The sequence below is a fragment of the Homo sapiens genome, chromosome 16, assembly GCF_000001405.40.
Source record: "Homo sapiens chromosome 16, GRCh38.p14 Primary Assembly".
Classification (NCBI taxonomy): Eukaryota; Metazoa; Chordata; class Mammalia; order Primates; family Hominidae; genus Homo; species Homo sapiens.
The window spans coordinates 77,912,488-77,928,690 of NC_000016.10; the positions used below are offsets into that span (position 1 = coordinate 77,912,488).

Consider the following 16,203-nt stretch of genomic DNA (forward strand, 5'->3'; position numbering starts at 1 on the left):
GCTCACTGCAGCCTCAACCTCCCAGGCTCAAGCGGTCCTCCCTCCTTGGCCTCCCAAAATCTACTTTATGTTTATTATTATTATTTTTTACAATAGAATGAAATTTTAAAAATTAAACATAGCATCCAATTTCAACTGGCTTATTCTCACTGGCAAGGCAAACATGTTGCTATTTCTCCTATTGTAAAGTATCTCTTGACCTCACCCCACCTGATAGCTATTGCCTTAGTCTGCTCAAGATGCTTGAACAAAAAAACAAAGACTGTGTGCTTAAACAGCAGATGTTTCTTTCCCACAGTTCTGGAGGCTCGCAAGTTCAAGATCAAGGTACTAGCAGATTTTGTGCTTGGTGAGGGCTCTCTTCTTGGCCTGTAGATGGCCGTCTTCTCACTGCTTCCTCATATGGCAGAGACAGGAAGTTATGGTTTTTCTTCTTCTTCTTCTAAGGGCATCAATCCCATCTCGAAGGCTTCATCCTCATTACTTTATCTAAACTTAACGCCCTCCCAAAGGCCTCACCCCCTAATACCATCACATCAGGTGTTACGGCTTCAACATATGCATTTGCGGGGGTGGGGTCATAGGCATTCAGTCTATAGCAGCTTTTGCTGTTTCTCCGATCCCCTTTGCTACAAAACATTTAGAAAGAGTTGTCTATGCTTTATTTGGATTAAATGATTTAATTTTAATTTCATTTGAAAGTAATATTTTTATTGTGGCAAAAACACATAAACGTACTGTCTTAAATTTTTAAGTGTATAGCACACTGTTAACTATATACACAATATTATATAACACATCTCTGTAACGTTTTTGTCTTGCAACTCTAAAACTCTATACCCATTGGAGTTGTCTATGCTTTTTGTCTCTAATTCTTTCCTTCTATTCTCATTTAAATTTAGTCCAAGCAAACTCCTGCCCCCACATTCTACCAAACCCACTCTTGTCAAAGTCAACAGGGACCCCCCTCCCCCAACAAAGTTAAATCCAGTGATCAGCTCTCGATCCTCATCATCTTGATACAGAGACCCCCCTCCCTCTACTATGATGCTTCCTTCAGTTGGCTTCTAGGATGCCCTTCCTTGCTTGTTAGTCTCCATTGTTGGTTCTTCTCCTTGACCGCTTTATCTTGCAATGTCCCAGGGCTCCGTCCTTGGGACTCCACTCTGGGACATGTTGGCATCTGGACTGGGCCAGGTTATTCTTTGACATGGTTGGAGGGGGACAGTCTATGCATAAATGTGTATTGTAACAAAGGCCAGGAGCTGCCTAAGACAATATTGGACATCAGATATAAACAGTAAGTTTAAGATCCTAGTCAGACATAGAATTAGGACATAAAAATACAATAAATTTGGGGATGTAAGTTAGGGGAGGTGAAAGAGCCAGGACCAACTCTACGAACCTCATGAGGATATGCAGGGCTCCCTCTTGGTAGAGAGGCTCTTATTCAGCAACAACATTGACTGATAAAATGCCTGAAGGCTGCCTTATTTTCTCAAGCTCTTTGGTCATCTGTTCTTTTGAAAACCAAAGCCACTCACTCACACAGCAAGTATTCAGAGAGCTTTTACTGCAGCCCAGAATCACATTAGACAATCTGAATTACAAAATAGATGCAGCGTATGCTGGAGCTGGCTCATACCAGCTCACAAGAGCCAATTGTTAAATAATCAGGAATTTTGTGAGCCAGTCATTCAACAAAACTATTATAGTTATTAAATTATATAAACTAATGATTTAAAATATGTATTAAAAACAAATGGAATAATCATTTATAACTTACAACTTTTTAGTTATATTCTCATTTGGCTATCTATGCTTTTGAGGTTGTATGCATTCATTGTACCTGTATGGTGGAGTACTATAAAATAGCATTACCATGCATTGTGTCCCAACCCCACTTTCAGTTATGTCATTTTGGTAATTTGAAAATCAGCCATGGTGTGAGCATTCACACCAAAGAAATCAGCAAACGCTACAATCCGGGCTTGATTTATCACTTGGTTTATTGTGTAGATGAAAGAAAGTAATGGAAAAAAATGTAAATAACGCAAATTAAACTTGAAAATACACCACGTATATTACTGAAGCTGAAAGAGGTTACAGTTCATTGAATGAAATTTGTATGATGGTAAGAAAGAGTGTTACCATAGATCAGTTATCAGTCACGTATCAGATTTAATAACACCAAATTGATTGGGTAAAGAGTTGTTGGGCCGGTTATTGAAGCTGAAAGAGGTTACAGTTCATTGAATGAAATTTGTATGATGGTAAGAAATAGTGTTATCATAGATCAAATATCAGTCACATATCAGATTTAATAACACCAGATTGATTGGGTAAAGAGTTGATGGGCCGGACACGGTGGTTCACGCCTGTAATCCCAGCACTTTGGGAGACTAAGGCAGGCGGATCACCTGAGGTCGGGAGTTCGAGACCAGCCTGACCAACATGGAGAAACCCCGTCTCTACTAAAAATACAAAATTAGCCAGGCCTAGTGGCACATGTCTGTAATCCCAGCTACTCGGGAGGCTGAGGCAGGAGAATCGCTTGAACCCGGGAGGCGGAGGTTGCGGTGAGCCGAGATTGTGCCATTGCACTCCAGCCTGGGTGACAAGAGCAAAATTCCGTCTCAAAAAAAAAAAGAGTTGTTGGATTGGAATGCAACTCAATTTGTCAAATTGTGATTGAATCGTAACCATAGATTGGCAAAACTCAACAAAAGCATTCTCTGGAAACAGACTACATAGGCTTTACAGTAAAGAGTATTGTATATTTTTATTACCATTCGTAAATTGTGTACTACACATCCTCTATGTCAGTAAAAAATTATCATAAATGTATGCATATACGGATTTTTTCAGAGAGTCAGTTATTAAACATTTATCTGCACACCAGTGGCTGTGAGCATGATCTTGATACACAGATGTTTAGAGTCCATCTGGGGGGAAACAAATGGTATGGATAAAATAAGAATTAGAGGACAAGGCAGTATATGACATTGTTTAGTGTAGGGAAATGTCACAGAAGGCCTGTGAGTTGGTCTACCTATTTGTGAGTCACCAAGAAGGCTTCCCCAGAGGAGTGGGACTTGAGCAAAACCTTGAAGGAAGTGCATGGGTTAAAACTGCATAAGGAAAGGCCTAGAGGCAGGAGGCCCTGTTGTTGGTGTTCCATCACTACAGCAATTGCAAGACCAAGCCTGTGGGAATGAATGAACCAATGGAGAACTAATGGCAAGTGAGGTTGGCTAGAAGACGGAGCCAGATAGAGGGTCTCACAAAGCAGCAGCTGACCCTGAGACAGAGAATCATATACAAGATGTGTATTTGGGACCCCAGAACACACTGGTGGAAGAGATGGGAAAGTTAGACGAGGAAGGGAAGACAACTCCTGCGAAGTGCATTGTCAAGCCAGCTACTCCTGTGGGTAAATGAAGGCTAATCCTACTGGGGCGCTATGAGAAGCAGTGCACAACACCCAGCTCGGATGAGGAGCTGGCATACTTAAGCATCAACTCCCAAAAGTCATTCATTGAGAGCTGTTCTGGGAATGCGGAACATTAATTCCCTGGCACTTCTGGCCTGCTGTGCAGGCAGCATCAGCAAGAGAAAGCCTTCAGACGAAGAAATGGGGGTAGTAGCACGGTAGGGTCTGTACGAAAGGGGGCCAAGGGCAGGGAAATCACAACCTCTGCTGTAATTCCTGGAAGTCAGTTTGGGTTTCGTGCACTCAACAGTGGGGACTCACTGTGTGTTCTTGAGCAAAGAAGTGTCCTTGGAAATGCTGCCTCCTCTAGAACTCTCCCTGCAACAGCGTCCTTACAACATGGTATGGCGCAAGGGGCTCAGGTTCAGAAGATCAGAATTCAGGCCCTACCTGAGCCACGAAGTAGCTGTATCGTTGTGAAGCTCTTGTCTTCTCCGCTTTTGTAAAACAGGAATATTACTACTCTCTCTCCACTGGGTTTTTTGTTTTTGTTTTTAATTTTTGTTTATTTGTTGTTTTAGAGATGGAGTCTTAATATGTTGACCAGGCTGGTCTCAAACTCTTGGCCTCAAGCAATTCTCCCCAGTCGCTGGGACTACAGGCTTGCAACATTGTGCTTTGCTCCCATTAAGTTGTTCTGAGCGTTAAAAATATACATAAGAGCGTTTTGTAAATTGTTATTTTGTTATTTTTATCACCTATAGAATGTCAAAGAAAGAATGAGGTTCTCTAAAGAATCTATGCTGGAATCGTCTTTTGTCATTGCTTTTTAAATTTACTCCTACAGGGAGCCTCCTTATACTACACTGCGCTTTGCTCTTTTTTTTTTTTTTTTCCTAAGTCAGACACATCTTCAAAGCAACCCCTGTCATTCTCCCACTTTGTTGTTGGCAAAGAGTGCCCTCTGATTAGTAGCGATTGCACTCATGGTAATATTAGTCATTTTCACAGCAACAGCCATGCCAGTTGGGAGTTCTAATAGACATTGTTTTGACTTCTAAAAAAATCATCTTTGTGTATTACTTCGGTGATCAAAGTTTATTATTCATCCACCAGCACTTGAAGGATTTAGATAAGAGATATTGTTGAGTTAATTTGTCCCTTGGCCTAATGGAGCCTCTGAAATATAAGCTAGATTCTCAGAGTCACCATGAAAGCCTCACTTCATTAATTGAAGACCAATCTAGAGAGACGATAAGAGGGGAGAAAAAGAAATCTAAGCTCATCTTCCCAGTTAGCAGTAAGACAAGAGACAGGAGGTAGGACCAGAAGGGGAGAAAAATTGGAAGCAACGAAAAAGGAAGGGGCAAGCCATCCTGAGCTCTAAGATGTAGCCATTATGTGGAAAGGCATAGCTGTGCTCCATAATTTCCCGGAAATTACCTTTTATTAAAGTACTGCCCTTAACCACATTACCTTTAATATTGAAAAATAAAAATTGCTAAAGGAACTCAGGTTTCAGTGCAAATGTAACAGAGATAATTAAATTCATCCTAATTCAGTCCCAATGATTCCTGTTCAACTTCAAATCATTGCAATTAAGAAAGCACTTTTTCATTCAGCTCAGAGAATAAACCATAGTTTCTTTATGTTTTGATTTGTTTGTAGCTGCCATTAATAGCCAGTTTACAGGGCTACAGATAAGAAAACGGAGACTCGAAAGAACTGGTAGAGGATGGAGTAGCGATTAAGATTCTATCTGAATAATCTAAGGTTCCCTCCACTCTGCTGCCTTGCCTTTCTGGTTCCAGTAAATTCCAGAGAATGTAAGAGAGATTATTACCAAAGTACACTAAAGAGGAATAAGGAGAGTGTATGATTTCTTCTGCCTTTGAGGGGAAGATACATGATTTACAAGGATTCTGAATCCCCAGACCTCCCTGGTCTTTGCTTAGGGGAGCCCCAGAGATGGAAATCAGTTGAAGCCAGACACTGAAGTTCTGTATATGCAAGACTCTCAAGGTCTGGGCTGCCCCTTCCCTTCACCCTAGGAAAACATCAATTATTCGTCCCCCAACTAGGCAGGGAAATAGGGAAAGAAAGAGCAGAGACACAGCCTGAATCTTTTCTATCAAAAAGAAACAGTTTGAAGAATTCCATATCCAATAAATGTGTGAATGGGGAGGTGTCGGGATGCAAATTAAAGGCATTAAGGAACTTGCTAATTGGCTCAAGAAACTGGAAGTTTCTCTCACTGACACTCACCAGCTGGCCCAGCAAGCTGTTTATTCTGTGGTGTCTCAGAGGCCAGGAAAAGGTGATACAGTGAGCCCAATAAGCTAAGTACTGATTCAAAGATTTAGAAACATTTTTCTTATTACATCCCAATTAATGGTGCTACCATCCGTGCAGGAAACCAAGGTAGAAAGTTCTCCTCAGCAGGCACATATTCAAACACATATATCTTTCCTTCTTCCCCCCAAAAGTCTCTTGAATCTAGTCCTTTCTCTTCATTCCACAGGGCCTGCTGTAATTCCACCCACCATCATCCTGCCGTTAGACTCCTTCACTGGCCACCTGTCTCCCTCCCTCCTTGTCCCCTTCCTCAACCCTTGCTCTCCTCATGTCGCTGTGATCAACACTAGAATGTCAGGCCCCAGTGTCTGCTGGGAGGGTGCGACCCATTTGGCTGATCCATGCTGTAAGGAGGATGGAAAAATACCATCTTCCAATTGGTTCTCAATATCCAGCTTCATCCCGGAAACTGTAAGTTTAATATGGAAAGGCAATGAATGCATCAGCCCTCCCAAGCTGATCATTCCTAAATCTTACTTTGCCCATTTTTCTCCTCCTTCCAACTCTGAGCTCCCTGGAGGAAGGAGCCTTCCCTTATTGATCTCAAGGTTCAGAACGCATAGCAGAACACCCAGCCTAAGATAGGCTCCCAGTAAATGTTTGTTCAGTAGAATAAGTTCTCTCTCTCCTGAGCTTACCATGGCTATTAGTTAAAATTAAGTTGCTCAGGAAGCAGGCACCATCCATCATTCCTTCCTATCTAGCTTCTTGTTTATTCAAGAGAGTCGTGGCTATGTAAACAGTGCTGAGGCATTCTGCAGTAGAGGCTGTGCCAATAGGGGAGAGGAAGTGCATTGAATCCAACTAGGCACTAATGAAAGGCTGAAAGTCCTTCTGGAGTTTTGAGGGTGTGTGTGTGTGCATGTGTGTGCATGCATGTGTGTGCACGCATGTGTGCATGTGCATGTGTGTGTGTGTTTCAGCAGCTTTCTCTGCAACCTAGGTGTCCAGGGGAAAACAGAGAGCCCCTTGTGCTTCCTGATTTGCAAACCAGACCGGTGCCTTTCATTGACAGGTGTTGTGCCTAGACCAGGATGCTGTTTTGATTGGAAAGGATGCTGGACTGATTAGTTGAAACAAAACATTCTCCAATTAACAGAAATAGAAGCTGGAGCTGGAATGTGAAGTGTTCAGCAACAGTGTTGCCAGGCAGCCTATTTAAAATTAATTAGAGGTAGAGATACATGGAACTGAAAAACACCACCCGCTTCCCTGCTTAAGAGAGCTGGGGTAGGATGAATGATGTGGGAATTTGCAAGCGTTACTGAGCGAGTCTGAACTGCCTTCTCAGATCCCATTTTTTCAATTGGTGGCTCTCATGCAGATGAGTGAGTCAATGTGTGAAATAGAGGAGAGATGACTGTGATAGAGAAGGACAAAGAAATTACAAAATATCCCTCGCTTTCTAAATGCCCTTAGCTCCTGAGTTTGCAGAGCAAGAATTCAGAAATTCAGAATTCACAGAGCAAGAGATACCTATTACTATTAATAAAGGTTCAGTATATCTCATTTATCTAAAAAACAAACCTTGGCCGGGCGTGGTAGCTCACACCTGCAATCCCAGCACTTTGGGAGGCCAAGGGAGGCAGATCACTTGCGGTCAGGAGTTTGAGGCCAGCCTGGCTAACATGTGAAACCCCATCTCTACTAAATAAATAAATAGCCGAGTATGGTGGTGGGTGCCTGTAATCCCAGCCTCTTGAGAGTCTGACATACGAGAATTGCTTGAACCTGAGAGGCAGAGATTGCAGTGAGTCAAGATGGTGCCCCTGCACTCCAGCCTGGGCTACAAAGACTCTGTCCAAAAAAAAATAAATAAATAAAATCAAACCGTATCCGGATACAAACAAAATTCCAGAAGGAAAAGCAAAGTGATTGCTGTAAGGATTGCACAGAGCTGCCAAGCATTCACCCATTCAAACAGGACCTAGTCAGTCCCTGGAAACTTTTGCTTTTCATTCAAGTCTGGCCATTGCAAATCTTGGCTGTGTCTAATCTGATCTGGTGTGAGTTACGAATGTTCAAAAGGTGGAGGAAACTGATAGAGGCAGGTCCATTTAAAACTGCCAGAAGTGATAGCCTGTATCCCAGCAATGCAGGAGAAGGAAGCAGATGAGACCTCCAAAATGCCCTCTCAAGGACTCAGCGACACATAGCTGCCATTTTTAGTAGGAACAAAACAACTCCACACACCTCATCAGCATTTGAAAACACCCCCTGAATTATACTTAGAAGACTGAATATCGAAATATGTATGTGTTCATATGTCAATATATGTATATGAATGTATATAATATATAAATGTGTGTGGATATAGTCATGCTCTGTATAATGACATTTCAGTCCACAGACGTTTGCTTAAGACAGTGATCCCATAAAATTCTAATACCATATTTTTACTGTACCTTTTGTATGTTGATGTGTTTAGATACATGCTTACCATTGGGTTACAATTGCTTACAGTATTCAGTCCAGTAACATGCTGTACAGATTTGTAGTCTAGGAGCAATAAACTGTACCATACGGCCTAGGTGTATGGTAGGCTATACCGTCAAGGTTTGTGTAAGTTCACTCTATGATGTTCACACAATAACAAAACCCCCTAACCATGCATTTCTCAGAATGTATCCTCATCATTAGGTGTCATATGACTGTGTGTGTGTGTGTGTGTGTAGTGTGTATGTGCATATATACACACACACACATACATACATACATGTAGATAATTCATCAGAAGTTAACACAAATATCCATTTCATTAGATCAGCAGTGGCAAATCAGCTTTATCTCATTTGCCAGTTTCATTGCCTCGAAGGGCTACCTGGAAATCTGTTTGCACAAGGACTCTGATGCCAAATCTTATCTTAATGGTAAGAAGGGCCATTACTGACAGGAATAGCATCATGGGGCTGGGCAAGGAAGCAAGCCAGTCTTTCTTTCCAGCTGGAATAAGCCATAGCCCAAGAACACTGTAAATCGGGACTATTCCTCTGACTCCTCATGGAATTGCTTTTACTGAACAATATGTTGACATTCCCCTATGTTTGCACTGAGACGTGTTGCATTAAGAAGCAGCTCTATTGTGTATCTCATACGGGTGCTTGATAACTTTATCCATGGAAGTGACTCTCCTTTAGGAGAACCCATGGAAGAAATACATCCAGTGGGAGAGAAAACTATTTCTCTTGAGAAATGTGTTTGTTCTGATCTTCTGGGGACCACAGATCCTTTAATTAGTTACATTCCTATTTTTGCATCGGCTGTGGAAGTCAGATATGCACTCTCCTGTAAACCTATGCAGGACCTTTCGTATCTATTTTATCTGTTCCTCTTACCTGTGACTTAATTTTATGTCTCTACTAATATTTTCCCTTTGTCCTAATTTGGTCACTTTATTTGTGACTTTTAGGCACTTGTACTAAGTCACCTCAAATCCTACTTGAATAAGTAACAATCAAGGAAACTTGTACACTTTTTTTTCTTTTTGAGACAGGATCTCACTCTGTTGGCCGGGCTGGAGTGCAGTGGCACAATGACAGCTCACTGCAACCTCTACCTCCCAGGCTCAAGCAATCCTCCCACCTCAGCCTCCCGAGTAGCTGGGACTACAGGTGCATACCACTACACCTGGGTAATTTTTATAATTTTTTTTTATGGTGACAGGGTCTCACTATGTTGCCCAGGCTGGTCTTGAAGCCCTGGGCTCAAGCAATTCTCTTGCCTCAGCCTCCCAAATTGTTGGAATTACAGGCATGAGCCACTGCATTCTAGCCACATATACTTTAGAAAAACCTTTTTTTCAGGTTAGCACCTACTGAGACAAGTTACTTTCTGGAAAATTTAAGCATGTGGAATATTTTATTTCATAAATGAAGAATCTCTCGCTGTGTGAGTTTGGGATGGCGGGCGGGGGTGGAGGGGCAGTGTCTGTATGTGTCTCTGTGTATCTGTGTCTATGTCTGCGTGTACAAATGCATGTACAACATCCATGTGGTTCTTATTAGGTCTTGGAATTAAAAGGTACTCTGTTCAAGCTGAGTTTCTCAGAGCCACAGAATTATAGTAATTACCAAGGCCAGTTCCATCAAGGCAGCAGAGTCACACACGTTTCAAATGAACAGACAAAGGGAGCCTAAGCCACTGTTAGAAATGTGCTGCTTATTAATGGCTGCAAAGGAAAATTCTTTTCCTGCCTTGGCCTCAGAATGCAAGGAGATTAATTCTTAACAATGAAAAGACAGGCAGCTGTCAGCGGCTTGTCACAGCTGGGCATGTGATGAAGAGAGAGGTGCTGTGACATGTGCCAGCAAGGACAGGACTTATGCAGTGGAGAAGTAGGGAAACAGCCTCGAAAATAGGGCAAAGGGAGAGGACGGTATTAAAGTGAATGCCACTCTATGTGCCTGGCAGTGTTTTAGGCACTTTTTAGAAATTCCCTTTAAGCTTGCACACTCCCAAACGCTTCCCATTTGATGGATAAAAACGGTGAGGAACAGAGGGCTGAAACCCCCTCCCCATGGAGCCAGGATTTAAACCTAAGTTTGCCTGACTTTCCAACCCATGCCACTCTCACTGTGCCAGTGGCCCTCAAAGTGTGCACTGTGAACCACCTGAGTTGGAATTCCTGGGGAGCTTTATAATGCAGATTCCGGGACCTCAACCCAGACCTGTTTGTTCAATCTTCGTTGACGTCTACAAGCACTAAATCTTCAGAGCCACCACTGTACCTTGCAGCCTGTTAAAAGTCAGCAGTTCCTTGCCACAGTGGTGGGCTTTGGAGAGTTCTCCCAGCTCTCAATTCCTCCTTCAGCAGGAGACCCTGCAACCTGTGTGACCCCCCGAACCTCGGCTTCTGGAGGACAATTCTGAACATCCGTTAAAAGGAATAACTTTGGCTGGGCGCAGTGGCTCACGCCTGTAATTGCAGCATATTGAGAGGCCAAGGTGGGTGGATCATGAGGTCAGGAAATCGAGACCATCCTGGTTAACATGGTGAAACCCCGTATCTACCAAAAATACAAAAAATTAGCTGGGCATGGTGCCGCGCACCTGTAGTCCCAGCTACTCAGGAGGCTGAGGCAGGAGAATAGCTTGAACCCTGGAGGCAGAGGTTGCAGTGAGCCAAGATCATGCCATTGCATCCTAGCCTGGGAGACAGAGCAAGACTCTGTCATGGATGAATGAATGAATGGAATAAACTCAGGGGCCCAGAATCAGGTCTTAAAATCTTGGTCCCTGGAAAGATTGATGTTAACAAAATTAAGCCAGCATCCTCACCTATCAGGTTTTTTCTACTCTCTGTTGGACTTCTGTAGAATTTCTTTGGTATTTTTCAGAAGCCAGCCTCCTGCCTAGTCACACAGCTTTCTCCTCCGGGCCTCAGTTTCCCAATCTGTAAAGTGAGGGAGATGGACAAAGGCTTCTCCCAAGCCTGCTTCTTTCTCAAAGTTGGTACCCAGGGTGGCTTCACACAGTTTTTGAAAACAAAGTGCCTTCACTACACTGGGGAGAGAGGAAAACAAAACAAAACAAAACAAAAGCTGCTGTGAAAACCATCCCAGGATAGCTCATATGAGCTTAGCAGCCGACACACTGGTGTGTACAGGACCCATTTGTCAAGCTGACTGTCTCTCCACAAGCTTGGATTTCTCCCTCATGGTCTGGGGTCTGCCTTCCCCCCCTCCCTTCCCCCAGTAAAGATGAGGAAATCTATTTATGCAGCTCTGAAACTAGACACACAAGAAGTTGCATCCCCACTGGTTCTTACCAGCTGTGAGACACTGAGCAACTGATTCAACATCTCTGAACCTCCTTGTCTCCATGTGTACATAATACAGATGTCAGCTGGCATCCCCCTTTCTCCCGGAGAAGCTATATTGACTCAGACACCCCCGAGTCAATGTTGTGGTCTTTGAAAGTCTGAAACTCTTCCTTCAATATTTGCTATTTTCTAGGGCTTATGATCTGGAGGTTTTCCTCATGACTGCAGGCAGGATCTCTTTTTCATGCAGGACCACCCCAGCATCAAGCTCAGCCTCTTCACTGGGTCCCATAAGATGCCCCTCCCTGGCACACATATCAGGCATTTTAAGCTTTAGTGTATGAGAGCCGGGAATGAGCACATCAAAATGCACAAACTCCCAGCCTTCTCCAAGCTTCCACCCACTTCTTATTTTCCTTCCTCCCCACTGTTTTTTTTTCCTGAGACAGAGTCTTGCTCTGTCATCCAGGCTGGAGTGCAGTGACACAATCTCGGCTCACTGCAACCTCCGCCTTCCAGATTCAAGCGATTCTCCTGCCTCAGCCTCCCAAGTAGTTGGGATTACATACGTATGCCACCACACCCACCTAATTTTTTGTATTTTTAGTAGAGACGGGGTTTCACCATGTTGGCCAGGCTGGTCTTGAACTCCTGGCAAGTGATCTGCCTGCCTTGGCCTCCCAAAGTGCTGGGATTACAGGCGTGAGCCACCACGCCTGGCCCATTTACCCTTATTTTCATATCCCCTCAACCCAGACTCCAAGACCTTCAATTTTTCCCCCTCTGTCTAGCAGGGTAATGTCTCAAGAATATCAGCAAATAAATTACCTAAGCCCTGGGTAGAGAGATAGCCAGCTCAGTCTCTGTACCTTTTCATTTTACTAAAGGATTTCTTTCCAAATACATGGCCCTTTCCATAAGAATTAAGATATGTAAAACTATCTCTGTCTAATAGTGTATGCATTAAAGGTAAGAATACTCACCCACAAGGCTTTTGAGAACATGGGTGGTCCGTTATGTAAAGCTCCTCATGGAATGTTCAGCTTATAGGTAGTCCTCAAAATTAGTAGCTTTTGCCTTCCCTACCACCAAGCAATGGTTACTGCCAGGGCACACTAGGGTCAGGCAAGCAAGGTACCTAGTGTACACAATTTAAGGAGGCACTCACTCTCAGGTTCACGTGCAGCCTGGAGAGTGAGGGCCTCCTTAAATTTTACACCCCCTGGTCTTTCTCTTGCCTAGTCCTGGCCCTGGTTGCAGAATTGGCCAAACCATCTACCCCTTCTGGTTATCTGAATCTGACAAATGTGAATTTGATCCCAGCTTTACCAAATAGTCACTAATTTCACCTCGATCAAGTGGCTTGAGTTTCAGCCTACCATTTACAAAATCAAGCTAATAATACCCCTTAGTGGAAAGGGTTGTTTCGGGGTATTAAAGAGGTCCATATATGCAATGGCGCTTCAATCAATATTGCTTTTCTCTGCCCAGAGTCAATATAAGAACAAAAGATTATTTCAGCTTTCCACGTTCTAGCGTTTTCACTGCTTCCTTTAATAAAATGAACTCAGCAGGAGATGAGACTAGCTAGCCCAGAACTGTTTTTACAGTTTCCCTTCCTAAAATCAATTTTGCTTTTCCCTCGTTCTGCAGATGACGTAAAATCTAGAGAGACTACAGGAAATTGAAAGAATAAAATAGATGGTGATCCTGCAGAGTTGTTGCTGGGTTACAGAAAAGTGCCTTTTGAGAAATCTACCAAACAACATAAAAAGCCAGAAGCAGCATCTTCCTTTAATTCCCCCCACCTCCCCCTGCTTCTGGCTTTGAAAGTCCTTGACCATGAAGCTGCCTAGATGCTTTATTGGGTCCTTGAGTGATCAATGGCATGTATGCATTTGATCCTTTACTGCTGATAATCTGTCATTAAAAAATAGGAGTCGGGGCCGGGTGCGGTGGCTCATACCTGTAATCCTAGCACTTTGGGAGGCCGAGGCGGGTGGGTCACGAGGTCAGGAGATCGAGACCATCCTGGCTAACACTGTGAAACCCCGTCTCTACTAAAAATTAGCCAGGCATGGTGGCGGGCGCCTGTAGTCCCAGCTACTCAGGAGGCTGAGGCAGGAGAGTGGCGTGAACCCGGGAGGCGGAGCTTGCAGTGAGCCGAGATCGCACCACTGCACTCCAGTCTGGGCAACAGAGTGAGACTCCGTCTCAAAGTAAAAAAAAAAAAAAAAAAAATAGGAGTAATAAAATAGGAGTTGGGCCAGGCACGGTGGTGCACACCTGTAATCCCAGCACTTTGGGAGGCTGAGGCAGGCAGATCGCCTAAGGACAGGTGTTTCGAAACCAGCCTGGCCAACATGGTGAAACCCCATCTTTACTAAAAATACAAAAGTTAGTAGGGTGTGGTGGCAGGCGCCTGTAATCCCAGCTACTCAAGAGGCTGAGACAGGAGAATCGCTTGAACCTGGGAGGCAGAGGTTGCCATGAGCTGAGACTGCACCATGCACTCCAGCCTGGGTGACAGAGCAAGACTCCATCTCAAAAAAAGTAGAAGTAGGGGTAAGAGCTAAAAGATACGGTGGTTGATTAAGGACATGGAAGTGTGGCCAGGTTTTCTAAAGAGTATTTCAGGATAAAAACTAAGGTTGACTTCACAGTCCTCACCAACCTCTATGCCCCACTAATGACTCTTCTGAGCAAATCACTGCCCCCTCTAGAACTCTGGCTGAGCCTTTGTTTCCAGCACTGAGACACAGACATGTCCCATTCCGCTTGCAGTCTCCCTTGGTGGGGACACCCTCCCTCCTTCCACATGTGACCTAGAAAGAGACTCTGGCTTCTTGGGCCACTCTATCGTGGCTACCCCTGAAGTTAGAAATCCACCAATCACTTCCTCCAGATTGTCAAGGACCATTACACATTTACATATGCTACCTCTCTGGTTAGGAATGTAGAAGACAACATAACAGTCATAGGCTATTTCCTGAGGAATTAGTACACATCAACACTGTTATGGCCCGGCGCGGTGGCTCACGCCTGTAATCCCAGCATTTTGGGACGCCGAGGCAGGAGGATCACCAGGTCAGGAGATTGAGACCATCCTGGCTAACATGGTGAAATCTCATCTCTACTAAAAATACAAAAAATTAGCCAGGTGTGGTGGCGGGCACCTGTAGTCCCAGCTAGTCAGGAGGCTGAGGCAGGAGAATGGCGTGAACCTGGGAGGCAGAGCTTGCAGTGAGCCGAGATCGCGCCACTACACTCCAGCCTGGGTGACAGAGCGAGACTCCATCTCAAAAAAAAAAAAAAACACTGTTGGGAGGGCTTTGCATATAGTGAGTACTACTGTTGTCCCTACTTTACAGATGAAGAAACTGAGGCTCAGCAACTAGTAAGAAGTACAAACAGGATCAAAACCAATTGATCCATCTCCAGAATCTGCACTCTTTAGCCACTAGCTTTTGCTGTCATCCTATGGCCACCCTAGGTACACCCATTCATTTGCATCAGGCCGCCTGTCCTGATTTGCACCTCAAAAAAATTGAAAAACTTTGGCCAGGCGCGGTAGCTTTTGCCTGTAATCCCAGCACTTTGGGAGGCTGAGGTGGGCGGATCATGAGGTCAGGAGTTCGAGACCATCCTGGCTAACACAGTGAAACCCCGTCTCTACTAAAAAATTAGCCGGGTGTGGTGGCACACGCCTGTAGTCCCAGCTACTCGGGAGGATGAGGCAGGAGAATCGCTTGAACCCGGGAGGTGGAGGTTACAGTGAGCCGAGATCACGCCACTGTACTCCAGTCTGGGTGACAGAGACTCCGTCTCAAAATAAATAAATATAAATAAATAAATAAACTTTTCAATTTCCTTTGAAAATTCTTACCACTAGTATCCCTGATCTACAGTTCTGACTCTCTTTCTGCATGGAAATCAAAAGTCATTTGACCTCTAATTCAATCCTTCCCATTAGGATGGGATGCCTCTTCCATACAATATCAGAATAATAAAACAATGCAGTATCTTCAGTGTCTACTGGGCTCAAGTGGGCCATTTTCACAGCAGGCCTTATTGACAAAGTCATTTTAATATTGTTTAGTTCAATCAAAGACCCCAGAGCTGGCCTCCTTTTGTAAAGATGAACCAGAGCAAGACCTGGCTCTGGTTCATTTGTGACCTGAGAAGTCCCAGGGAAGCCAACATCTCTCTGGTCACCAGGCTTCCCTCTAGCAAATGTGTGTGTGGAGAATGCTAAATGAGAAAAATTACATAATTGCTTAACACACTTGTAAAAACTCAGCTGTTTGCTAATCCTGCTATTGTGACTGCTATTATTTCTCTCTTATGATTATTCCATCATGGTTGGGGGAGAATTCAGGGATGGAGGGAGATGGTCACTCATCTTTTAAAAGATCAAGTATTGAGATTTTTCATAACACTATCCTGTGAGAGACAAAAGTCATAGCTGAATCTTCCATAACTGTCATCTCAGAAACCGCTATCTTGGATGTGATGTGACAACCAACATTTCCTCTTAAATAAGGCATTTGTAGCCCTCCCCTTGACCATAGTGATATTTAAAGAAATTTCTGTAATCAAGGAAATAAGATTTGAAAGCAAGCCCCTCGTAAATGACGTGTTTCATATTACTCAC

General features: G+C 43.7%; 1 protein-coding gene across 1 annotated transcript in view, besides 1 other annotated feature; it reads left to right on the forward strand.

Annotated features, from left to right (window-relative positions):
- Nucleotides 1-16,203, forward strand: part of VAT1L (vesicle amine transport 1 like) — a 191,544-nt gene that overhangs the window by 123,924 nt on the left and 51,417 nt on the right. The gene's annotated exons all lie outside the window — the stretch shown is intronic.
- Nucleotides 6,579-7,078: an enhancer, noted in NCBI's record as "H3K4me1 hESC enhancer chr16:77952963-77953462 (GRCh37/hg19 assembly coordinates)". NCBI's record gives its function as "activates a minimal SCP1, AML or CMV promoter by ChIP-STARR-seq in primed H9 embryonic stem cells {active_cell/tissue: H9 hESC(primed)}" and the evidence as "EXISTENCE:reporter gene assay evidence [ECO:0000049][PMID:30033119]".